Here is a 27,794-nt window from a genome sequence, read left to right as displayed (position 1 = left end):
AAAGCCCATAGAACCGTACAACACAGGGACTAAATCCTAATATAAACTGTGGATGTTAGTTAATCATAATGCATGAATATTGGTTCATCAGTTGTAACAAATGCGCCACACCAACACAAAATGTTAACAATAGGAAAAACCAGAGGCTGGTGGGGGAAGAGAGTATACAGGAACACCATATATTTTGCTCACATTTTCTGAAAACCTAAAACTGGTCTAAAAATCAAAGTCTATTAATTTTTTTAAACACCTTGAAACAGTATGTCTATCTTCTATTAGTTCCCTGCCTTTGTGAAAATAAGAGCAGACTTTTGGTTTTTCTTCTTTAGGACAAGAATTATATTTTTATAATAACTCCTCCATTACTTTTGATATATCTAATTATTTCTTTAATAACTGGATCAAACACTTTAATATTAATGAAGGTAGAGCCAATAGGATATCCTGGTAGATTGGAAGAGACAGTGAGAGAAACAGAGGCATAAAGGATGATGCTGAAGTTTTTGGCTTGAGCAAGAAGAAGCAGGGCTGGTACTAGGGTGAGCCAAGTGAGATGTTGAGGGCATACAATTTAAGGAGGCCCTTGCATAGCCATGCAAAAGCAAGGTCAGCACTTCCTTGGTGCTCTGAATGCCTTAAAGTTTGTGCCTAAGTGGTTGGCTTACTTCACTCTTGTCCTAGTCCTGACTGGATCAATGGTATCACCATCCACTGAGTTGCGGCAGGCTGAGCAGAAGCAAATTTGGGGAGGCTGGATTGAATATAGAAGCTTGGTTCTGGACATGTTGACTTTGAGATGGCCATTGAACATTCAAGTGGAGACATCAGGTAGTCAGCTGGATCTCTGAGTCTATATCTCAGGAAAGAGGCTGAGACTAAAGTTATGTATTTAGAAGTTATCACAAGACTAAATGAACTCATGAAGAAAGTGAGTGTGAATGGATAGTTAGATGGATAAGGGAAGAGTTTCAAGGCCTGAGCCATGAAATACTTCTATTTGTCAGAAAGAAAAAGAGGAGCCAGCAAGGAACCTTGAAAAAGAGCAGGCAATAAGAGAAGGAACACTGGCAGTGTATATTCCTGGAAGACAAGACAATGCTTCAAGGAGTAGAGAGTAATAAGTTGTGTTTCATGCTGCTAGAGTTGAGTTAGACAAAGCTTGAAACTAGAACTTTGGTGTTAGTGGCATTGAGGTCATCGACGATGTTGACTAAAACAGTTTTGGTGGAGAGATGACAACAGAAGCCTAAACAGAGTGCACTGAAGAGAGAAGAAGAGATGAGAGAAATTTGATTCTGCATATACATAAAACTCTTTCAAAGGTCTTCTTTTAGAAAGAGGAAGGAAGATAGAGAGAGACACAGACAGACAGACTGAGAGAGATGAGAGAAGCCAGAGGGGGAAGATAAGTCCAGAAGTTAATACTTTCCCAGTTTTTCCAACTTGCATCCCAACCCCTTCTCTCTGGGTTTTAGCAGTGGATACTTTGAGATTCTAATATTTATCTCCTCAGAAGGTGAGATGCAGAAGAGGAGATAGGAAATTGAGATAATAACTACTTTCTTCTGATGGGTGGGAAAAATTCTATATGAGAGTTTTTCTACCAAGACACATGTGAAAGGAAGTGGCAACGTGGCAATTCATCTAAGATCAGCAACTTTTTTTCTCTGTTTGAATTTGTTGATTTGGAAGTTATTTGTCTGGCTCTGCAACAGAATCATTATTTGCTCTACCAATTTTTCTAAAGTCTCACATGCTGATGCCAGTTAAAAAAGAATACATTTTAGTCTGTCAACTTTTGCTTACAAAAGAGGATCTAAAAGTGTGTTCCAAGGTAATTTGAACAGACTCTTTCAAGATAGTGCATCTTTTAGTAGATCCACAGAACAGTAAATATAACTTGATAATCACCCCAAACAGTTCTTGCATTGGAAAATTGAATTGGCAGGTTTGCATAATAAAGGGCTAAAATTATGAACCACACAAGATTTGCCTGAAACTTGATTGTTCAGGCTCAGAATTCTCTACTGAATACTCTTGTGCTTGCTTTTGTATTTATCCATTTTCACGTAACTGCTTAGAGCAGACATATCTCTTTTTAATCTTTTTTCATAAAAATAAATTGTAATAAATATGCCGGCGGATGGTAGGGATGCCGACCCTACCGAGGAGCAGATGGCAGAAACAGAGAGAAACGACGAGGAGCAGTTCGAATGCCAGGAACGGCTCAAGTGCCAGGTGCAGGTGGGGGCCCCCGAGGAGGAGGAGGAGGACGCGGGCCTGGTGGCCGAGGCCGAGGCCGAGGCCGTGGCTGCCGGCTGGATGCTCGAGTTCCTCTGTTTCTCTCTTTGCCGAGCTTTCCCCGACGGCCGCTCTGAGGACTTCTGCAGGACCCGCAACAGCGCAGAGGCTATTATTCATGGACTATCCAGTCTAACAGCTTACCAGTTGAGAACGATATACATATGTCAGTTTTTGACAAGAATTGCAGCAGGAAAAACCCTTGATGCACAGTTTGAAAATGATGAACGAATTACACCCTTGGAATCGGCCCTGATAATTTGGGGTTCAATTGAAAAGAAACATGACAAACTTCAAGAAGAAATACAGAATTTAATTAAAATACAGGCTATAGCTGTTTGTATGGAAAATGGCAACTTTAAAGAAGCAGAAGAAGTCTTTGAAAGACTATTTGGTGATCCAAATTCTTATATGCCTCTCAAAAGCAAATTGCTTATGATAATCTCTCAGAAAGATACATTTCATTCCTTTTTTCAACACTTCAGCTACAATCACATGATGGAGAAAATTAAGAGTTATGTGAATTATGTGCTAAGTGAAAAATCATCAACCTTTCTAATGAAGGCAGCAGCAAAAGTAGTAGAAAGTAAAAGAACAAGAACAATAACTTCTCAAGATAAACTTAATGGTAATTATGTTGAAATGGAAACTGAAGCTAGTTTGGATACAAGAAAAAGGTCTCATAAGAATCTTTTCTTATCTAAGTTGCAACATGGGACCCAGCAACAAGACCTTAATAAGAAAGAAAGAAGAGTAGGAACTCTTCAAAGTACAAAAAAGAAAAAAGAAAGCAGAAGAGCCACTGAAAGCAGAATACCTGTTTCAAAGAGTCAACCGGTAACTCCTGAAAAACATCAAGCTAGAAAAAGACAGGCATGGCTTCAGGAAGAAGACAAGAATTTGAGATCTGGCGTGAGGAAATATGGAGAGGGAAACTGGTCTAAAATACTATTGCATTATAAATTCAACAACCGGACAAGTGTCACATTAAAAGACAGATGGAGGACCACGAAGAAACTAAAACTGATTTGCTCAGACAGCGAAGACTGATTGTGTTTGTAAAAGCTTGATGAAAGGACAGTTAAGTATTTTGATCACTGTATTTTGTTTGAAACTTGTGTCATTGATGTATTTTAAAACTTTTGTTTAAAGCATTACAGTATTTTTCTGTGACCATCAATTAATATGAGGGTTTGTGCTGTAAGAGTTAAAGCATGTGCTATCATTGTATTCTTTAAGAACTTTATTTTGATAAAATGTAAGTTTGTTGAACCCTGCCACATTTAGTATCCCCACCCCCAAAACCTGTTCCAATGAAAAAATTAAAACCTGTTATGAAAAAAAAATTCAGTTAACCTATTTTGTGTCTGTAGGCTGACCTCAACACTGTAACATAATCCATTAAAATGAATTTTACTTTTTTTTAAGACAAAGTTTCTCTCTGTCACCCAAGCTGGAATGCAATGGCACAATTTCAGCTCACTGCAACCTCTGCCTCCTGGGTTCAAGCAATTCTCCTGCCTCAGCCTCCTGAGTAGCTGGGATTATAGGCACACACCACCATGCCCAGCTAATTTTTGTATTTTTAGTAGAGGCGGGGTTTCACCATGCTGGTCAGGATGGTCTCGAACTCCTGACTTCATGATCCACCCACCTCGGCCTCCCAAAGTGCTGAGATTACAGATGTGAGCCACTGCATCCTGCCTAAAATGAATTTTCTAGACAATTGAATAACAGTAGTCCTTTGACAGGAGATAATGACTTGGTTTATGGCCTTAATATACTACTTAATTACTTAAGATGTTTATTAATAGAATGATAAATGTACAGAGTAACCTATAAGCATGACATACTTTCGCTTTCAGTAGTTTCATGTAAAGAAAAAAACTTGAAAACAGTAATACCTGAGGACCCATGGGAATAACAGACACTGGGGAGGTAGGTGGGGAGCGGGAACAAGAGCTGAAAAACTACCTACTGGGGACTCTGCTCACTACCTGGGTGACAGGATCATCCATACCCTAAACCTCAACATCACACAGTACACCCAGCTGACAAACCTGCCCATGTGTTCCCTGAATCTAAAAAAAAAATCGAAATAATTGTTTTAAAAAAGAAAAAGACAATAGTATTGCCCATGGGACAAAATTTGTACTATTAGCAAGAATCATTTGTGTCTCATTTAGAAAGAATTTGACTTTTGTTCCAGTGCTTAAACTTTGACAAAAATGGTTTTGAGTAGATCTTTATAACCTGATGCCATAAATACAAGATTCTCTGATACCTTCATTTAATATATCAATATTGGGCCTAAAAGAGTATTCTATAAAGCTTAAATTGGTATTAACTATGATCATCTTGATGTCTGTGATAGATAATAAACAAGGTCATACATACCTTACAAACAATTTTGGTTTTTCACCAACATTTTATCTAAAAGATTTACACTAACAGAATTATTTAGCATTTCGAGTCATGTGCTTTATTTAGCAAGTGAGTAAAAATATTGGAATATTGAAGTATTTGCATAAAAAATCAAATGGTAGTGTTTTGTAATCTCTATTGTATTTTCTATTAAGGTTTCATATATTACTTTCCCATTGTTTCTGAATTTGTTATCCTATATATGAACAGAAACATGGATGAGTACCATAAAAAATAAATAAATAAATATGCCAAACTCACTCCAATAGCATCCAACATATCATATGTATTATATAAATACATATTTTACCATTATAATTGACAAACCAGCAATTATGAGCTTGATTCTTTGTGGATGCATTAGGAGAGTGTTTCTTCATAGGATATAATATTTTGTAATTTCTTATTCTTTACTGCTTGCTGCGCTGTAAAAGGTTTATAAAATGAGTTGCTTTTGGGGTGTGAAATGAGCAATCATCAGAGGAAAAGCATTAAGGACAAGAAAGTGGAGTGAGGATCATGAAGCATGTGCATTTCTTTCTCAAGGTCATGGGTAAATTTCAGCTCCATGGAAAATCTTGAGAAAGAATCCAGCAAGAATGAGATCATGAAATGTTAGCTTTCCCCAAGTAGAAATTCCATAATAGAACTATAAAATTGCTGCTTACAAATTTTTTCTTCTAAATTCTACTTGAAATTAGGGAATTGAAAGGGCCAGGAGGGACCCTGGAATTCATCTAGTCTGAAATCATTATACATAGGAAAAGCTAAGCTGAGCCATTCTGCAAGTCACACTAATGTGACATAGAAAATACTAGAACCTAAGGTTCTGAATTACTGTTTCAGGTGTTCATCTGCTACAACAAACATTTATCAAACACCTAGTAGGTATAAGAGATCATTTAAACCCACCCCAAAGGATACAAAGTTGAGGAAAGCACTCTTTGCCTTTGCAGAAATCACAATCTATTATCAAAGCATATGATAGAAATTTCAATATCTAAAACACAAAATCTAAAGTGTTAAGTGCCATGAGAATGATATAAGAGTTTAAGAAGGGAGAGATACAACAAAGTTTGGGCAAGCCAGTATGTTTCTTGAAGGAATAGCACTTAATTTGTGATGTGAAGATAAAATCTCAGTAAAGAAAAATGGGGAAGAAGATGGTAAGCCTGGCAGAAGGAATATTATTAGCAAGTGCAGGAAAATGTACTCTAATCAAAAAGAGCAGGCCGGGCGCGGTGGCTCACGCCTGTAATCCCAGCACTTTGGGAGGCCGAGGCGGGCGGATCACGAGGTCAGGAGATCGAGACCATCCCGGCTAAAACGGTGAAACCCCGTCTCTACTAAAAAATCCAAAAAATTAGCCGGGCGTAGTGGCGGGCGCCTGTAGTCCCAGCTACTTGGGAGGCTGAGGCAGGAGAATGGCGTGAACCCGGGAGGCGGAGCTTGCAGTGAGCCGAGATCCCGCCACTGCACTCCAGCCCTGGGCGACAGAGCGAGACTCCGTCCCAAAAAAAAAAAAAAAAAAAAAAAAAAAAAGAGCAAGTAGCCTAATGTGACTGGATTTCAATTTACCTTTACATTTTTCTATCATGTTATTTCATGCCCATAAATTATGGCAATAGTCTAAATGAACTTGAATATCAGACCAAATTGCCTTGTCTTATGTAGTAACCCACTCAAGTTTCTAAGCAGAAAATAACCTGACCCCCATTCTCTGAGATTTGAGAAAAAAATTGTGTATCCTTCACTAAAGTTTGGAATGCATTTTGGAAGGAAAGAGGAAAGCAGAATGAATATGTCCTGACCACGTGTATTACTCATTTGCTCTGAAAGCCATACCCTGCCCCTTTTTCTGCTCAGCTCTGAATGTTAGTCTCACAATTAGGTTTAGCTAAGTGAAGGCAGAGGAGCAGGCATCCAAAGGGTGGAAGGGAAGGAGAAGCCAGACTATTTCTTCTCACTCTCTGTACTTGAGGTAGCATCTCTTCTCTGGTTTCGGTTCCTGTTGTGCAGTCTTTGCCATGCTTCCAGCTTGGCAGCCTTGGCATTTCCTAAGCAGTTCCTTCTCCATGATTCCAGGTCCTACTGAGGCCCCAACTCAGAGAATCCCGTAGTGCCATTGCCTCCCTTTGTGCTCCATTTCTGATATCATAGAGACTTTCTGTTGTTGCTAACCTCTGGGTGCTTCACATTTCCTTATTAACTTTTTCCACTCTTCCAAAATAGGATATTAAAAAGCATATTACTGAAATGTTAAAAAGCATAACTGCCTTTAGATATAATTAAACAAAGGGCCTCAAACAAAGTCACCATGGACCTGCCTCTTTCTCCCTATTCCTGGACTCTTCTGTGCTCTTTTTGCATTGTCTTTGCTGTCAGGCTAGTTCTTTCTGTATAACTGGAAAGATGACTGTTGCTTGCCCCAAGTCTACATCCTTATGGCTCATAATCCAGATGAAAAAGAGATTATCTATTTTCCAGAAACCCTGTATTAAATCTCAAATTTGAATTTGATTGATTTGCTAGAGGGTAGGGTGATGAAGTTCTCTGGTCCTGGTCATTGGAGAGGGGTAAATGTTATTTCAGCCTCATTCAAGTTTTATGGAGCGAGGCATAGCATTTACTCAAAAGAAGGGATACTGGGCAAACAACAGTCATCTAATACAGAGAGATGCTGAAAATTATCTATTTGCTCCTCCATATCCACTCTTCATCCTTTTCTAACCTGATTTTGTGCAAAGGAAGCTCACCTCCTTGGCCACTCTCTTCCTTTGTCCTCTGACTTTATGTCAAGTGCAGCCAATGGAGCACATTGCCATGGGATTGGAGAGCAAGAGGAAAGAGCCTTAGTGGGGTTTATTCCACCCCCACCTGGCCTGGCAGTGATGTGGCAGTGGCGGTGGCAGCATCCCTCACTGAAGCAGCTCTTGCTGGGTAGTATCTCCCATGTGCAGGTTCCCCAGTGCTCTGATAAGAGCTCCCACCTCCCCCATCCCTACAGGACTGATGGTAGGAATGGCCTTCACCACCTCTAGTCCCTGGGTGCGTCACTGCTTCTAGTGGGTTCCTTAGCTTTGTCCATACCCTGAATGAACTCTTGATTAAACCCTCTTCAGTTATCCTTTTTTTAGCATGCCAACTGATCCAGCCAGGACCTGGTACTTATGGGTTAAATGATTATTGCCACTTTCTAGCTGACAAAGCCAAGCTTAAACATTTTCAGAAACTTACTAAAGACCACACAATGAAGAGGAGGTGGGTTTGGGACTGAAATTTTTGTTTATTTGCCTTCAAAATCTGGATCTTAAAAGAACAATTTCTCCCCCTTTGACAGACATAAACCCAAAAGCATCTGTGCCATTGTCATGTGCCTTGTCTGTCTACCTTCTACATACATCCGAGTATGATGGGCCAGGCAGACAGGGATTTTGGCTTCCTTAGCAAAATTGGCTCTTAAGTTAAAAGGAAAAACACAATAAGATGGAGAATCCACTCTTTTACATTCACAACTTCATGGCTGATTCCAGTTTGCTTTTTGATAATATACACATTCCATTTCTTATAGTCTGTGAGTAAATGGGCCTTTCATAAGCCCATCCAAAGGGTAGCTTACAATTTTCATTCTGTCCCCTCTCCTTGCACTTTTCTTAAAGTGAATTACTAGTTAATGCCTGAGAGAGTAAAATCCCTGATCCAATTTTTTCACAAAATATATAGTTTTATGTGGAAGAAAATAGGAGTCTGGAAGATACTCAGTCTCAATGAACTTTACTCCTCTGAGGAAGATTAGCAACAGGGATAGGAGTCAGTAGAGGCACCCTCGTTAGTCACCAGCTCTGATTGTAAACAGTGGGATCATTGCTTTTAATTCTTTACCATAGAACTTTCTCTGGCACCAGATTCATGTAAGTATAATTCAGAAATGTAAGTGGATAACAGCTTATTGTCCAAGGTTCCCAAGGACCAAAAAATAAGGTGCAAAAAATACTTAAAAGTAGCCAAGTAACTCTGACCTGGAGTGCTGAAGTTCATTCCCTTTCTACATCATTTGCATAATATCTCCATATCCAAATGGTATCCCAGAATACACGAAGGAATTAGGAAGTCTAAGAAGTTAAATGGAAAATAATAGCACGGGTAAAGTGCAATTAATGCCATAAGCAGGAAAGGCAAATACACTGATTTAGCTGAGATTTAACACATCTTTGGAACTCAACTTGGCAAAGCAAGAGGGGACATTGGAAAAGCCATACCTTGCTAAGAGAGAAAGTAGCTTTCTATTCTGAAGCAGCTATATAAGTGCAGTCATAGAAGGCCCAATCCACGAGAGAAATGAGGAGTCTGGTTTATGGGAAGAATCCAATGCAAGAAGGCATTTACATGTAGCTAAATCACTGATCTTGAGAGGTCAAGGAAGATAGAAACCTTATTTAATGACAAGGTAACAAAAACAGAAATAACACTTTTTACATTATTTTTAAAATCTTACTTGTGATGCATACTAATGTCCCAGAGTTGTGTGGGTTTTTCTCCAGAAGTACAGATTCACAAAGGGTTATTTATTTATTTATTTATTATACTTTAAGTTCTGGGATACATGTGCAGAATGTGCAGGTTTGTTACATAGGTATACACATGCCTTGGTGGTTTGCTGCACCCATCAACACATCATCTATGTTAGGTATTTCTCCTAATGCCATCACTCTCCTAGCCCCTCACCCCATAATAGGCCCCATTGTGTGATGTTCCCCTCCTTGTGTCCATGTGATCTCATTGTTCAGTTCCCACTTGTGAGTGAGAACATGCGATATTTGGTTTTATGTTCCTGTGTTAGTTTTCTTAGAATGATGGTTTCCAGCTTCATCCATGATTATTTTGAGAAAAGTTTAGAGTAAAACAAAGGATAGACCAAGGGCCTCTGTGGTCAGAGTTTGTGCTCTGAAAGGGGGTCCCTTTCTCCATGGTGCTAGGCAGTCACGGTGCTACACAGACAAAACAGAAATGATCTCCCTGTTTTCTTCAACAAAGTTCCAGTTACTCCCAGCATCTTCACAATGGGTGAGAATGAACCTCTGTTGAGTGCAACATGTTCCGTGGTTTGTGTTTCTTTACTTTTTTGTTTTGCTGCAAGGTTGCAGGCTCCTTTGTAGTCTACAAACACCTTGAGAGCAGGGATGGCCTTTATTCATCATTGTTCTTATTCCTTAGCTCAAGGCCTGGACACATAGCAGGCATTTAATAAAGTGAGTTCTGTTAACCTCATCTTTAAATGTTGATGTTGTTTTCTTTTCAGGAGAAAAACTTATTTAGGTCACACACATACACACATACCACATGTATTCACACTCCAGAAAAGTAAATCCAACACATACACACACACGAAGAACAACTGATGTAAAAAATAATAATGGTAAATTGAAGGCAATAAAACATTTATTTTTATACTAAAATTAAAAAATAAGATATGAAGAAAGCTGAGCATAAAAGATTGACATATACAGAAGCTACAAGAAAACAGACCCACAAAGCATTATTTCATGTCTTCATGTATTGATTTTTTTTCTCTAACATGGGGAATGAGGTAGGTTTTCCATTGCCTCCCACTTTCTGTTGGCTGCTGATGGCTACATTTCCTTTTCTGAGAATCTCACATATTGACCATAGATATGGTTGTCACTAAATAAACCACAGGCACCATTAATCAAATAGGAATTAGTGAAAGGGAAAGAGGTATAGTGGGTTGAATAATTTTTCCCTAAATTTATACGCATCTGTGTCTTAGTTCTTTTGAGCTGCTATAACAAAAATACCATAGACTAGGTAATTTATAAACAAAAGAAAATTTATTGCTCATAGTTCTGGAGGCTGGGAAGTGCAAGATCAAGATGACTTCCTATTCAATGTTTGGTGGAGGTTTACTCACTGCTTCATAGATGGTGCCTTCTCGCTGCGTCCTCACATGGCAGAAAGGTTGACCAAGGTCCCTGAAGCCTCTTTTATAGGGTATTAATCCAATTCATGAGGAATCTGTGTTCATGGCTTAATCACCCCCCCCCCTAAAAAAAGCCACATCTCTTAACACTCTCATATTGGGGATTAAGTTTCAACACATGGGCTGGGCATGGTGGCTCATGCCTGTAATCCCAGTACTTTGGGAGGCTGAGGCGGATGAATCACCTGAGGTCAGGAGTTCGAGACCAGCCTGGCCAACATGGTGAAACCCTGTCTCTACTAAAAGTACTGGGCGTGGTGGCACGCACCTGTAATCCCAGCTACTAGGGAGGCTGAGGCAGGAGAACCACTTGAACCCAGGAGGCAGAGGTTGCAGTGAGCTGAGATGGTGCCACTGTACTACAGCCCAGGTAACAGCAAGACTCTGTCTCAAAAAAAAAAAAAGTTTGAACATAGGAATTTTGGGGGTACGCAAACATTCAGAGCATTCCAACCTGGAACATCAGAATGTGACCTTATTTGAAAAGAGAATCTTTGTAGATATATTTGGGATATAAAAAGGATTCTGGGATAAAACCACCCTGGATTTACAGTGCATACAAAAATCTAGTGTAATGACTGGTGTCTGTATGAGAAGAGGGAAAAATACAGAGACACAGGGTATAAGGCCATTTGTAACCTCTGGCAGAGATTGGAGTTATCCTGCCACAGACCAAGAAATGCAAAGGCCCAGAAGAAGATGAAAGAGGCAAGGAAGGATTGCAACCTTCCAAGGAAGGGTGTCCCTGCTAACACCTTGATTTTGGACTTCTGACCTTCACAACAGTGAGAGAATACATCCTTGTTGTTTAAGCCACCCAGTTTGTGGTACTTTGTTACAGTGGCCTCAGGAAACTAATACAGGAGGTTTTTTGTTTAGCATATTACAGGATATTGACTTGAGTAGGAACTCAGATTTCACAGAGAGATAGTTGGATGAGGTCTATGTATTAACACCACATTGAATATAAACTCTATAAGTGGGAAGCATTGTTTCCAGGAAGAGCAAATACCACATTCCAACCATATTGATGGTTGTTGAGTCAGGGCCCTCTTCTTCTGTGAGATTCCTGTCGAAACTACCTTATCAGCAACTGTCTGGCTGAGAGCAAGAATAATCTTTTGCCTCTTTTATACACAGATTTTATGTAGTTAATTAAATAAATGTTAATTTAAATTAATAAAAATCATACTAAAGCAATTTCTAAAAATATATTTATCAGCCACTTTTTTTTGTAGGTCTTCAATAGAATAATGAAATCCATGAAAAATCCTCGGGTTTTCAGAGTTTCATCTTGATATCTTAGCATTCTGTCAAGCTATAGGCTGAGGGAGAAACATTCTGCAGCTTCCCTTAGAAGAACCACTTTGGATCCACCTTTCCGCAGAGGCATTTTTCAGGATTTCTGTGTCTAGATTTCTCCCTGGGAAAACCAGGAATAAAACCATCAGTCACATCACTTGCAGCCCAGGGAATGTTCAGCTGGCACACGTGACTAGACCAGTGGTAGAAGGCATGCAGGACTTAGGATTTCACGTTTCTTTATGTTTGACCTTTACATTTCTAACAAGAAAGGCATTGTTTATTAATGTCTTCATTTTACACAGGAAAAAAAATGAAGATCAGGATAGTTAAGGCAGTAATTTTCCTATGTTTTTCACTCTTTTGAGGAACAGGCTGGCCCTAGGAGATGGGATGCAGTGAGAAGGAAGAAAAGGCAGCCTAGCTTTTATCTCATCAAAGTCAAAAGTCTTATGGACACACCTTTGCAATCCCTCTCCTGGAAGTGACTTAAGTGTTATGTATTTCCACATGCCCTTATTTTAGTAATTTTTCCATGGGAAAACAAACCCATGACTCAGTAAAATTTGACAAAGTAAATCGCCTAAAATTTCACAACAAAACTCCCCCTAAATGGCGGTGGGAAGCCATAGTTAGAAACAAATTTTGGCCTACTATTTTTCAACTAATTTTTAAAATAGTGGTAAAATACACATAACATAAAATTCACCATCTTAACCATTTTTAAGTGTGCAGTTCAATAGTGTTAAGTGAATTACATTGTTGTGTAATCAGTGTCCAGAACTTTTCCATCTGTCACAACTGAAACTCTATCCCCATTAAACAACTCCTCATTTTCCCCTCTCCTCAGCTCCTGGCAACCATAATTCTACTTTCCATTTCTATGCATTTTATTACTTTAGACACTTCATGTAAGTGGACTCATAGTATTTGTCTTTTTGTGGCTTGCTTATTTTACTTAGCATATCTGCAAGATGCCTCCATGTTGTAGTATTGTGTCAGAGTTTCATTCCCTTTTAAGGCTGAATAATATTCATATATATATATATATATACAAATTTTGTTTCAATTCATCTGTAGATGAACACTTGAGTAGTTTCTAATCTTGACTATTGTAAGTAATGCTGCTATGAACATAAGTGTACACTCTACCTACTACTTTTAATCACAATTTAAACCCTTCCATTTTGAGAAAAGTTGTAAAATAACAGAATGTTTTATTTAGAAAATTAATCATTTTTATTCTCAGATATGAGAACAACACAAATAAAGTATTTTTCTTTGAAGTTCATAAAATGCCATTGCATAATTTATTTTTACATAAAAATACTTTCTGGGTTGAGCACGGTGACTCACACCTATAATCCCAACACTTTGGGAGGCTGAGGTGGGAAGATCACTTGAGGCCAAGAGTTCAAGACCAACCTGTGCAAGAGAGTGAGACCTTATCTCTACAAACACTTTAAAAAATTAACCAAGCACGGTGGTGGATGCCTGTAGACCCAGCTACTCAGGAGGCAGAGGTGGGAGGATAGTTTGAGGCCAGGAGTTCAAGGCTGAAATGAGCTATAATCATGCCACTGCACTCCAGCCTGGGCAACAGAGTGAGAACCTGTCTCAGGAAGAAGAAAAAGAGAAGGAAGGAAGGAAGGAAGGAAAAAAAGAAAGAAAAAAGAGAAAGAGAAAAGAAAGAAAGGAAGAAAGGAAGGAAGGAAGGAAGAGAAAGAAAGAAAGAAAGAGAAAGAAAAGAAAGAAAGAAAAAAGAAAGAAAGAAAGAGAAAGAAGAAAGAAAGAGATGAAATTTCAGAGTACATTGCTGCTTTGAATTGAGTTGTGCATTGGGAAGCATCAGTCTCCCAGGGAGGGACAGAGAGCTGATAAGGTAGCATGCATTCTCCCAAATCTGTCCCACCCAGGGAATAATGTGCTAGATTTTTCTGACATGCTTCTGGAGGGTGAGAATGCTAAAAGTCCCTCGCAGAATCATTTCCCATTACTAAATTCACCTGGTTTATTACATCTCATGAATGAAATTTTTCAATTAAGTCTTCCCCTTGTTTTTGTTGTGTTGTAACTACTTTAGGATGACTGTTCTACTTAGAGATGGTATCTTAGTCCATTTAGGCTGTTACAGAAATTTTTGTTACAAAAATGCCATAAACTGGGTAGGTTATAAACAACATAAATTTATTTCTTACACTACTAGAGGCTTGGAAAGCTGAGATTAAGTCACTATCAGAATCCATATCTGGTGAGACCATTTCCTGGTTCACAGACAATGGCTGTCTTCTCGCTGTGTCTTCTCCTGCAATTGATTTCTCTTGCAGTGGATCTCTTGCATGTCTTTGATAAGAGCACTAATCTCATTCACCAATTCATGAATCACTAATCACTTATGAAAGGCTCCATCTCCTAATGCCATCATATTGGGAATTAGAATTTCAACGTAGGAATTTTGGGGGAATATTAGTCTATTGTTCATGGTTTGATGACCTAATTCTCATGGTGGTTTTAACCCATGCTCCCTTTTAATAAACATAAAATGTTGTAAAATTATATACTTTTTCTCATAGACAACTCCCCCCCTTCCTCATACTTTATCGTCTTTAAAATTGCTGATATACTTAGAAGATGGTTTATTTTCTAGGCATTTCTGCAGACTGATTAGGTAGAGCTTTTATTTTTCTTTGGCCAAATATTATATTTCTTTTCTTTTCTTTTCTTTTCTTTTGAGATGGAGTTTCGCTTTTGTTGCCCAGGCTGGAGTGCAATGGCCCGATTTCAGCTCACTGCAATCCACCTCCCGGGTTCAAGCAATTCTCCTGCCTCAGCCTCCTGAGTAGCTGGGATTACAGGGATGCGCCACCATGACCGGCTAATTTTGTATTTTTAGTAGAGACGGGTTTTCTCCATGTTGGTCAGGCTGGTCTTGAACTCCTGACCTCAGGTGATCCGCCTGCCTCGGCCTCCCAAAGTGCTGGGATTACAGGCGTGAGCCACCGCACCTGGCCTTATATTTACTTTCAAGTATATGCATTCTACTTTGATCCTCCTAATTCTGATCCTCTCTCCATTACCTCCTCCCCAAAAACCTTCTAAGGATCATATCATTTTAATTAGGAAGTTATTTGGCTACATTCAAAATATGATTTTTCTTTATAAATATTGGACTAATAACTCCAATTTGTGCACATGACATCTGAAGAATGTTACAAATATGTGTGAACTCTGTAAGGCTCCCAGTCCAACTTTTTTTTTGAGATGGAGTTTTGCTCTTGTCACCCAGGCTGGAGTGGAATGGTGTGATCTTGGCTCACTGCAACCTCCGCCTCCCAGGTTCAAGTGATTCTCCTACCTCAGTCTCCTGAGTAGCTGGGATTACAGGCACTTGCCACCATGCCCAGCTAATTTTTGTATTTTTAGTAGAGACGGTGTTTCACCATGTTGGCCAGGCTTGTCTCAATCTCTTAACCTCAGGATCTGCCCGCCTTGGCCTCCCAAAGTGCTGGGATTACAGGCGTGAGCCACTGCGCCCAGTCCCGGTCCAACTTTTATTTCATTTTCATCTTTCCTAATCCAGCCTTGTGTTGGAAGCTTCTTCAGACTAAACCAAGAAAACCTTAGGTCTTCATGTTCATATGGGGACTTTAATGTTGATATGGTGTTTGTACACTTTAAAATATTTCCACATATGTTAACCTTGTGGTGATTCTCTGAGGCATGACAGATACTATTTTCCTTGTTTCATAGAAGACAAAACTTGAATTACAGAGAGGTGAAGTGACCGCCCTGAGGGCTTCCCCAGCTAGCAAGTTCAGTATAGGCTGAGCTGGATTCCAGGTTCTCTGGCTTCCAGTCTGGTACTCTTTCTGCTATTCCATGCTGTGTTTTCTGATTGAAAAATCATAAGTCTTTGGTATTTCTCAGCTTGGTCAAATCTGTTTAAAGATCACTTAGCCCACTTTTGTCTGAGTCCATATGAACCAAGTGATCCTTTAATCTGTCTTACTGAGTAAATGCACCCTTCCTGAAGTGAGTGAGTGCCCTATGGAGTTAGGTGCTGAGCTGAGCTGCAGTCCTGGGTTATTTATTGCCAATTTGGCATCACCAACTCTCCCTTCTAAGGGTTCCTCTGTCTTTCAGAAAAGTTGGGAGCTATATTTGCAGAATGCCCTTCCCATATGGTTACAGGTTGGTTTACCAAGAAGTCCCTTCCCTTGCTGAAGATTTGGAAGGCTGAAACGAATGACAGGCTAAAGGGGGTTAAAGGCAGAAATGTGGACAGCCATGAGATTCTAAGAGGCTCCACCAGAAAGCCACTCCCTTCATCGCTGCAGACTGTGATGGTTGAAGAGAAATATCTAGAAGTTCAAGGACAATGGACAATGAACAGGAAACTGTTCAGCTGGGAGCTGAGCTGAGGTTGTCCACCGTGGCTTCATTGACCTCAGCTTCCCCTAGTCTTCCAATGGTTGTATAGGCTTCTTGACATCTGCATTAAACCTTTTTAATTTGGATTATCTAGAGCAACCAGTTTTTCTTGACTAAACTCTGACTGATAGACTCATTCTCATGTTAAGTGCTAACATTTTGATTATGACTTTTATTCTTATTGCTAAAGTATAATTTCAAACGATATAATTAGGACACTGATGCAAATATAATATGAATATATGGCAAGGATTTTGTTCAACTCATTAATTAGGTGGGGAAACAATTAGATATTAAGACCAGTTCAAACAATATTTGAGGAGCTAGGTATTTATAGACCATTTAATTTTAAAATGTTAAGATATTTGGGTTATATATAAAACTTGTTAATATCTTACAGAGCAATGCATAATAACATTTGGGGTTATATTTTCCACCAAATCATATGCCTTTCCATGGGACAAAAATCAACATGTTAAAGTAAAACTTCTGGGACCTTCAATAGATATTTTTTAAATTAGCATCATCATCATCATCATTTGCTATACACTTGATAGGTTATAGACACTACAGTAACATGTTCTCAAACATGTAATTGTCCTTTCAACAATTCTGTGAGGTGGATTTTGTCATCTCCATTTTAGAGATTTGGAAACTGAGCCCAGTGAACCCACCTGACCTCCTCAAGGTCATGGACTGAGTTAGAGCCAGGATTTAAATCCAGATTTATCTCACACTGAGGCCTGTGATTTCCTCCTAGTTCACTATCACCTAATTAATTCAGATGCTCCTGACTCTCTCTGCGTTAATTAATAAAATCAGCTTGGAGAATAACAAAGTTGAAAACTAAGCAAAGGAACATAACTGGATACAAAATGTTATTACAAAAGATTAACGGCTTTGAAAAGTAAAAGCAGTATGAACTATGCCATGTAAACCTTAGGGGGATAAGGGCCTTAGATTATTCAAAAGATAAATATATTTGGAAATTTTTTTAAATTTTTAATTTTTTAATTATACTTTAAGTTCTATGGTACATGTGCACAACATGCGGGTTTGTTACATAGGTATACATGTGCCATGTTGGTTTGCTGCACCCATTAACTTGTCATTTACCTTAGGTATTTCTCCTAATGCTCTCCCTCCCCCCTCCCCCCACCCCACAACAGGCCCTATGGTGTGATGTTCCCTGCCCTGTGTCCAAGTGTTCTCATTTGGAAAAATTTTAACAACTGAGATTAAAAATCCAAAGTTGCCATTTCCACCAGATTATTTTTTCACGGTCTGTGATGTGCCAAGTATAAAGAATAGGAGTAACATAAATGCAGGCCCCAACCAAGCAGAGTCTCTCAAACTTGAATAGAGCATGGAACCTACTTAGTAGAGGGAGTGAGGGAGAGAGCGTTCCCAGACTCTGAGCCCACACCCTCTCATCCAAAAGTTTAGAGAGCACAGCTTGCGAGATTCATGGTCAAAATAGGCCTGATCATTTTTGGTGATAGAATAAGATAAATTGTGTCTTTCAATTAACATTTTTCTATTTGCAACATTCTTACTTCATCCTCAGCCAGTGTAAAAATCAAAGTTTTACTGTAGATTAAAGAAAATAAATGAAAACATGGACAAAAAACATAAGTGAATTAGTATCAGTTGTGGTTAAGGGCATAGACTCTGGAGTCAGAATGTCTGTGTTCAAATCCTGACTCTACTGTGTCCTGTGAAACTCTGGGTTGGTCACTCAACCTGTCTGTGCCTCAGTGTTGTAAATGTCCAGTGGGTTTACCTTGGCCACTGCCTAGACAGAGCCAATTAATCAAGATGGGAATTGCAATAGAGAAAGAGTGAATTCACACAGAGCCAGCTGTACAGGAGACTGGAGATTCATTATTTCTCAAATCCATCTCCCAGAGCTTTCAGAGTTTTTAAGGATAATTTGGTGCATGGAGGAAGGCCAGTGAGTCCAGAGTGCTGATTGGTTAGGTCAGAGATAAAATCATAGGGAATTGAAGTTGTCCTCGTTCACTGAGTCCGTTCCTGGGTGGGGGCCACAAGATCAGATGAGCCAGTTTATCGATCTGAGTGTTTCAATAAACTGGGCGCCAGCTGATCCATCAAGTGCCGGGTCTGCAAAATACCTCAAGCACTGATCTTAGGAGCAGTTTAGGGAGGATTAGAATCTTGTAGCCTCCAGCTGCATGACTCCTAAACCACAATTTCTAATTTTGTAGCTAATTTGTTAGTCTTACAAAGGCAGTCTAGTCCCCAGGAAAGAAGGAGGTTTGTTTTGAGAAAGGGGTGTTAATATCTTTGTTTCACACTATAAAGTAAGTTCCTCCCAAAGTTAGTTCACCCTACACCCAGGAATGAACAAGGACAGCTTGGAGGTTAAAAGCAGATGGAGTTGGTTAGGTCAGATCTCTTTCTCAGTTATAAGTTTGCAATAGCTCTTTCATTGTCTTCATCTATAAAAACAGGGCTAATAAGAATTATACCTCCGTTCATCAACACCAACATCTTTGCCAGGACCAAGATAGACCCCAGCGCCTTGGTGCAGAAGCTGGAGCTGGATGTGAGGAGCGTCACTTCCATCAGGAGAGGTGCAGAGGCCAAGACCGTTTTGCCCAAGAAGGAGAAAATGAAGCTGAGACGTGAGCAATGCTTGCAGAAAATCGAAGCCATAAAACTGGCTGAGCAGAAGCACAGGGAGGAGCGGAGGCGGAGGGCCACGGTGGTGGTGGGGCACCTGCACCCGCTCAGGGATGCCCTGCCCGAGCTGCTGGGGCTCGAGGCTGGCAGCCGGCGCCAAGCCTGCAGCAGGGAGAGCAACAAGCCCTGGCCCTCAGAGCTCAGCCGGATGAGCGCAGCCCAGAGACAGCAGCTTCTCGAGGAAGGAAGGACCCGGTTTCAGGAGCTGCTGTCCAGTCCGGCCTACAGAGCCAGCACCCTGGTGGCCATCGGGCAGACGCTGGCCCGGCAGATGCAGCTGGAAGATGGCGGCCAGCTCTGACCAGGGCAGTGGGCATGCCACAACTCCTCAGGACACATGTGTGGGCCAAGTAGAGAGCACCGGCCCCTCAAGGACCATGGCCTGAGCCTGGTGGACGCCCTTCCTTCTGGTCGGTTGTGGGGTTCAATAAATGGCTCTGTGAACTTCCCCTGCACCCCCAGGGCCGTTCCCATGAGCTGCTCCCTGATTCACAGGGCTGGGCCCACCCTGGGACAGCTGCCCCCGCTTTCCTCAGGACAACAAGCCACATCCCTCCACTGGGGGCCCCAGCCCCCACGCAGTCAGGGTGGACCGTGCACAGGGTTTGTGGGGACTGCAGTTGTGGAGGCCCCAAGTCCATCCCCGTGCAGGCACTGGTGCCCCCAAGATAGCCTCCTGGCTGTGTTGGGAAGGAATTGTGCCTGGGTGTGGCCCAAGCTGTGCCACCAGCTGCCCTGATTTGCTTCAGCCTCGGTTCCTGCTGCGGCCCTGGTGGGATCCAGGAGCACTGAGGCCTGCAGGGGCTGCCGTGGGGGCTGGCTCGGGGCCCTCCCCACCTGGGAGTCTGTTTCCCTTTCAGTCTCCCCTGCCACCATCAGTGACCAGGGACACAGATGGCCCTGGCAAGGCCCTCAGTCTGCTCCTCGCCTGTTGTCTGCAACCCCTGGGCTGCACCCCCCTACCCCACCCATTGCCCTCGCCCTACCCAGCTGCTCCAAACCCAGGCAGCCCACTGCATTGCTCTGGGGGCGGAGAGCAGAGGGTCCTTCTGCAGGGAGGAGATGTGGAGTGGGCCCAGCCCTGAAGCTCTTGCTGACCCGGAAGTGAGAGAGGTCCTTCTTTGTTGCTGGAAGCCCTGGGATTTGGGGGTTGGTTTTTGGACTGTGAATCAGTGACTGATCAGTCCTTGTTTTCAAGTTGTGGAAAGCAAGGGGGTGGTGCGTCCCCAGGCCCCTGAGGCCCAGCTTGGCTCCCCCTGCCTGAGCTTCCCCCATCCCAGTGCTCTGCGGGGCCTCACTGGCCCATGTCCTGCAGCAGGGCTGGGCAGGCGGGGTATGGTGGTGCACCCCACTGGGGGTGTCTGGGAAGTGCAGAGCAGGACCACTCTCAGCTCCCAGGCGGGGGCCCAGCACCCTGAGCCTTCCCAGGCTGCCTGTTTTAGATGCTTTTCAGACTTTCATATTCTGTCTCCTACTCCTGAACTTCCCTGGAATGACACCAAGTTGTATGAGGGGTTTACTGTGTCCTTGTGATAGTGGAGAGAAAAAAATTCAGATCATGTGGAATCGTTAGATGCCCTCTATGCCCAGCTGTGGACAGGCTGGTCCACCTCTCCTTGTCTGAGGATTGCTGAGCTCTGTCTAGCTCTGCCTATCCTTTTGGAGTGAAGCTTTGGCTTCCTGGAGTCCAAGGTTTCAGGCATTTGTGTGTATTCAAGTCCACCCCGACTTTATCCTATCCACTCTGACCCCAAGCTTCTGACAGTTGCCCACTCCTTTCTCAACACTTCCACATCCCTTCTGGAGCATTTGGGAAATCTTAAATCCCTGTCATAACAAGTGCAGACAATGGAGAGCCAGGCTCCATAGTGGACTCACCACCTGAACCCATTCTGCAGTCTTCCCACAGAATTGCTCTGGAGCCATGATGGATCTGGCATCCAGCTGAAGGCACAAGTTGTTCTAGGGGCCTGCAGACTCTGCCTTGGAAAATAATCTACTGCTCTGATATTAGTGTATTGCCCCATACTTCTATGTTCCTAAAAGACTTTTGCATTTGATGTGTGATTCTTATGTGGGAATAGGAACCTTTTTGTTGTACTTTTTTTTTCTGCCTCCATTATCTGACAGGATGGGAAGGGGTAAGCTTTCCTGTTACTTTCCCTTCCTGTCTGAATGCAACTGTCCTATATCATTTGCTCCTCATTCCTCTAAGATTTCACTCTCAAAGTTCAGCCCAAATGATGAAATTGGCTGTATCTTGGTTTATTCTGGCTACTACAACAAACTACCATAGACTGGGTAGCTTATAAAAAACAGAAACGTATTTCTCACCGTTCTCAAGTCTGGGAAGTCTAAGATGAAGGCACCAGCAAATTCCATGTCTGCTTAGGCCTGTTTTCTGGTTCATAGATGGTGCTTTCTCACTGTGTCCTCACATTGGTGGAAGAGGCGAGGGCTTTTCCTTGAGTGCCTCATAAGGGCACTAATCCCATTCATGTGGATCTGCCCCCATGACCTAATCACCTCCCTAAGTCTTCACCCTCTGATACCGTCACCTTAGGAGTTAAAATTTCAACATACAAATTCTGAGAAGGCAGAAACAGTCAGACCCTAGCAGGGTGCAAGGACAGAAATCAGCCCAACCGTAAGAAAACTTAGAAAATATATCTAAAACTTTATCCCTGTTATAGATGGAAAATACTTGGTGCAGAGCCTGGAATGGAATCTTCTATGAACTTGGATAGGTGAATAACACTGTACTACATGGTGATAGCTGTGGAAGATCCAAGTGTTACACTTAGAACTGACAAATTCAACATATTTTGTCAGACAAGCATTGGGCTCATTCTGTCCATTCCACAGTCTATTGGCTGAACTCTGCTAAACCTATGTGATTAAATAAAGACATCTGTAAAAGTCTTAATGATGGTCACACTACAAAGCTCTTTGAGTAACTAATCCCAGTGTTAGCCAGCAATGAGTCTTAGGGAAGTTCTTCACATTGACCTGGATTCCAAATACCTAATAAAAAAGAGCAAGTGTCAAACTCAGAGTGTGTGTCTCTTTCTTCCTGTTTATTTGTGAATGGCTTTTAATGAATAGGAAAAGAACAAAAAGTATAAATGCAGCTTGTCAACCACAACAATGTGCCTTTTCAACTTTTAGCTAAGACATGAAAAGTTATAATTTCACTACTTTTTATATAAACATAACTGCATATTTTCACAGCTTTGCTTTAAGACTTAAGCTCCTCCAGCTGATCATAAATTGCCAGGAAATGTCTGCCCAGTCTATCACAGTGTCTTAATTAAGCAAAGGCATAGAAATTATATGGGGGCCTTGGCCCGTGGGACTCACCAGGTGTAATGAATTCTGAAGAAGCAGTAGACACAGATTTCCCATAATAAATACTAGTGGAAGGACAACAGAAATAAAAAAAAGGTTTTTCTCTTTTCTACCAATCTCTTCCTTTTGAAAAAGATAGCAACAAAGATAGCTTAAAGATAGACCTTTAAGCCTCAATTTTGATGCCATTTCTTTCTAGAGAATTTTTGGTTTCTCCTTTCCACACTCCATTACAGGCTGTGCTAAGGGACAGTGGCCCACAGGGCTCCCTCGGGTGCAGGCGATGGCCCGGGGCCAGCGGAGGCCCCTGAATATCTCCCTTACTACCAAGAGGAGACCAGCTACTGAGGCTCCCAGCACGCTCTCTCCCCACATGGTCTCCCCATCTGGGTGTTTGGGTTTTTCTGTGTTTTCTTCTTTTTTTTTTTTTTTAACCTGTTCAGTGCTGCCAGTCAACAGAGCGTCTGTTGAGTAGCAGCGTGGGATCAGGCAGCAGGGTTTTTTTTTCCCCGTTGCTTTCGTTCCTTTGCAGGACTGAGCCACCAGGCTGTGGGGGAAGGGATCAAGGCCGTATCCCGATGCGTGTAGGGTGAGGTTCCCCGCTGGCGCGTCCAGGCTGTGGGCCTAGCTGTGCTGGGGAGACGAGACCTGGGCATGGAGGGAGCCGGTCCCCGAAGGTTTCCGGTTGCCTGTCCTCTTCCCCCTTTTGTCAACCGATCAGTTTGTGGTTTCTGTACCCGCAAAAGTTTCAAGAAGTATTAACAAAAGAAAAAAATTTTTTTTTCCCCCAGGAATGGGGCGGGGACAGTGGGTGCTGGGAAATCAGTCCCTTGGGACAGGGGGCCCGGCCAGGATGCTAAAATATCTCAGGCTCCTGAGTGGCTGGATTTCCCTAGGACCCTCAGACCAACAGAACTCAGACCCTCAGACCTACGCTGGGGCCCGGTGAGGAAACAGGCCCGTACAAGGTAGTGGAATTCTCCGTTGTTAGTGTTAAGCCTGACCCCTCTCCATACTAGTCCCCTTACCCCCGTGGCCCTCAGTAGGGTTTTTTTGATTGTTTTTGTTTTTGTTTTTTTGAGATGTAGTCTCACTTTGTCTCTCAGGCTGAAGCACAGTGGAGTAATCTCGCCTCACTGCACCAGCCTCCCATGCTCAAGCGATCCTCCTGCCTCAGCCTCCAGAGTAGCTAGGACTACAGGCCTGTGCCACCACGCCTGGCTAATTTTTTGTATTTTTAGTAGAGACGGGATTTCACCATGTTGGCCAGGTTGATCTGGAACTCTTGCCTTCATGTGATCTGCCTGCCTCGTCCTCCCAAAGTGTTGGGATGGCAGGTGTGAGCCACCACGCCCAGCCCCTCAGTAGGTTTTAAGGAGCTCCAGCCCTCCTTCTCCCCTTCCGGGCCTGACCAGGTCTACTGCTGTATCTCCCCCCACCACACGCCCTGCCAAGTACTGCACAGGGCCCCCCACCCAGGGACCCTGGACCATGAGATAATGTGAAATACCAACTGTGGACCAAACACAATAAAACCTCTGTTTTTAAGAAGAAAATGAAAAGACTCAAAATTGGCATTTTAAGACTTTATATATATTATTAAATATATATTAAATATAAATGTTATACAATTTAGCGCCTCTATCTCCCAGTCTCTGGGAGAGGTTAGGAACTTAACTTTCTTAAGCCTCAATTAGTAAATACATCTGGCCTAGCCACATTGACCAACCTCTCTCCTAACATCATCCTGTAAATTTCAGAAGCTCATGCAAAACTCTCCCACCTTTTGTTTCAACAGATATGTCAACTGATACAATTATACAACAATTGTATAAGATAATATTAGATTTAATCTCACAATCACACTCAGCTGGATTACTAACCCTTCTCCTACACCTTGCTCACCTAAATTTATCTACATTTTCTATGAATTGAATAGCTTAGAAATGTATGTCATCTGTGTATTATAGTGTAAGTTATTGTAATACAGAAATATGGACTTTCTTTAACTCCCATTTGCTGCCTAGGAAATACCAATTTTTTGGGGAAGGCAAGTGTTTCCAAGCATTCAGAAGTGCAGAATGAGGTCTGCTTGTCATCCTCTCAGTCTCAACTCCTCTCCCTCCTTCATCTCTCTGTTTCTTTGATGAGTATAGAAGATCAGTGATTTTTATATGAAATGAAAATTGATGGAACTAAGGTGTTGATTTGATTATCCAACCGACCATTTATTGAGTGTCCATTACAAGTTAAATTGTGTTCTGGAGAACAGCTCAGGAAATGAATGCTTGACATTGATGTACATAATAGAAATACAAACATACCATTAAAAAATCAGACCTCTTATGACAATCCAGATTCTCATGTAAGTTTTGTGATGCTCTTTCAAGATGAGAATGTAAAATTTCAAAAAAAATCATTTTAACAAGTCCTTCTTGAGACAGAAAAGTGGAATTAGAAGATCATGTATGGTTGTTTCACTAGCTCAAATCTTAAGTACAGTTTTTAGTCAATTGACAGCCATATAATTCTTAGTTTTGTATACTGATATTCATTAGAAATTATAAACTTTAAAAAATATTCCTGTCTCATTCTACTAATCAATTTAAAATTTTCATTCATTTGGTTATATTTCTTCATTTAACCTCGTCTTAATACTTCTTTCCTGCCCAACATTAAACTTAATTAATGTCTAATTTGTTTACTTGGTTTAGTTACTTTTGGCCATGTTCAATACACTTCTTATGAAGCAGACATGTAGGAGTGTTTACAAGTTTATGGTTCTCAGTCTTCCAAATCCCTGATGGCAGCACCCCAACAGACACACACCACAATATAAACACACACACACACACCCGTGCACACCCATACTCACCCACCTACACGCAGACACACACACACCCCCATACTCACCCACCTACACACAGAAACACACCCCCACACACACTTCAGTGGATAAACACAGAAAACACTCTACAGGCAAAGACATCATACATCAGGGATCTCTTAGTGCACTACACACTTCTGTAAATTATCAGGACTGCTCAATTGAGGTGAGTCTACAGAGATTTCAAAGGCTATTTGACTGCTAAGCTATCTAACCTAGTGGTTGGAGACTATTTAAATAGTGCATTAAACACAACTCTTGAGGCTCTGAAGAATTTCTGTGCTTTGCAATGAACCAGGAGTTACAAGGTCCTGAAAACCGCAAGCTTGTCATATACTTTAATAGATAAAGCAAAGCTGATATTAATGTGAATATACTTTATATTTACTTCCATTCATGTTAATTTTTCTTTGCCTGTAATATACATTTTTATATAACTGGGAATAAGAAACATCTTAGGAAAAAGAAAACAAAAAATAAAATTTCCCTGATTACACTGTGCCTTGGTTCAGGAACCCTGCACTGCACGTATAGACTATAAATGGGTGTCTTGGGGAGCCACTTTGGTATTTCATTTTAATAGCTCAGCCTGGAGAAGATATTTGTGAGTGGATCACATATTACAACTGATTTAAATTTTGACCCATAGAGAAATAAGTTTTCAAAAATATGTCTGAAGCCTGGATACTGAAAAATATTTATCATCATAGAATAATAAAAGGCTAGCCATTAGTTACTCAGAAATTGTTCAATAACTCTAAGAAAACTTAGACATAAATAGTTATGAGTGAGTATAGTTCATCATTAATGTTTGTAAAAATTAATGCTGTCATTTATAGTTGGGAATAAAAAACTAGAAATGTAACTTTATTTGATAGAGATAAATGATAGATATAAAGTTTACATAAAGCAAGAGAATAATAATAGATGTGTAAAAATATTATTTTATAGATAAGATTTTATGATGAAATTGTGTTGAGCAACATGAATCAAACGTGTTTTGCATACTACATCTGCAGTTACAACATCACAGCCTTTTAAGTATTTCATTAACTTCAAAATGTAACTTATCACTGAAACAATCTGATTTAATGAATTGGGATAATGGGTAATGATTGGTGTAAGCTGAAAGCAATACTATACTTTTAAAGTTATATCTCTTTGTGTATTAATACAAACACCAGAGAAGATGGTCAATAAATTAATTACTGTACAATGTCTATCATAATACTTAAACCTGGAAGAAAATCATTAAATGTTTAGTGAATAGAATTGGTGAATTGCTTCCATTTTATACAATTTTCTCTTCATTTTAGGGCTTACCAAAACTTGCAGCTGTAAGGCCCAACTATTTACTCCTTCAAATAAAGCAAGATTCCAAGAATAAGTATGAATGTTTTGTTTTGTTTTTCACTGAAATATTCCGGTCTGTAGCTACTCCAAATCACACTAATCTTTCTGGAGTCTGGTATAGGTCCTGGTCTCAAGGCCACTGTTACCACCATCACCATCTTTTGTGCCTCAAGGTTGAGCCCTCCTAACTTACCTGCCTGGAACTGGAAAAGTCCCATTTCATGATACTTTAAGCAACCCAGATGTCTCTTTCACTGAAAGTGGTATTCTTCCTGGGTTTTTTCTTTCCAGCAAGTGATGTCGACCTCTACCTACACCTGACATCTCAGTGTAATTCTTGACATTTTCTTCTTCACATTTCCATTTTCAGTCGCCAAGTGTTGTCAGATTTTACCTTCTCTCTATTTCTTGAATGAATTTTTCTCTTTCTGTCTTCATTGCCATTATGGATTCCACCCCATCACTCTCTCACCTGGGCTACAGTGAGCACCTCTAAAGTGCTCTCCCTGATTCTCTCTCCAAAAATGTTTCTGTGCTATATGCAAAATGACTTACTTGAAATGTAAATACAATTTACATTGTAAATTGCTTGGCTTAAAAATTCCCAAAGACTTCACATTGGTACTAGGAGTCCAATCAAGAGTCAAAAAATGGGTTCAAGCAGTAGAAAATTTGTTTCTTTTCTCTCTCCCCCATCTTGTGGCAGGAACATTATTGAGCTAAATGATTCAGATATATTTTTTCTTGCCTTCTGGACTTTGGTCTTCTTATTCAAATGCTTTTCCCACTACCATCCCAGATTTATATAATTAGCTCTTACTTTTATTTTAGTTTGCTCTTCATCTTCACCACCAAGGGAAGCCTTACCTGATATCCCTAAATATGAAAGGCTTTCATAACAGTGCATAGTTTTCTCTGTTACTTATAATATTGTTTTTAAATTTTTATATTTTTATTACTATTAATAATAAATAAATCTGAGCATGCTCTTTGATAAGAAGTCTAATAAAGTTTTGATGCAATTAGTAATTCAGTACATAATTG

The 27,794-nt window shown here is 40.8% G+C and overlaps 2 pseudogenes; both read left to right on the top strand.

Moving 5' to 3' along the window:
• TERF1P2 (TERF1 pseudogene 2) lies at window positions 2,140-4,957 on the top strand (annotated as a pseudogene).
• Window positions 18,952-19,650, top strand: LOC729774 (SLX9 ribosome biogenesis factor pseudogene; annotated as a pseudogene).

This window comes from Homo sapiens, chromosome 18 (assembly GCF_000001405.40).
Source record: "Homo sapiens chromosome 18, GRCh38.p14 Primary Assembly".
Taxonomy (NCBI): Eukaryota; Metazoa; Chordata; class Mammalia; order Primates; family Hominidae; genus Homo; species Homo sapiens.
The sequence above is the reverse complement of the archived record's forward strand: the minus strand, read 5'-3'. Positions and strand labels throughout refer to the sequence as shown.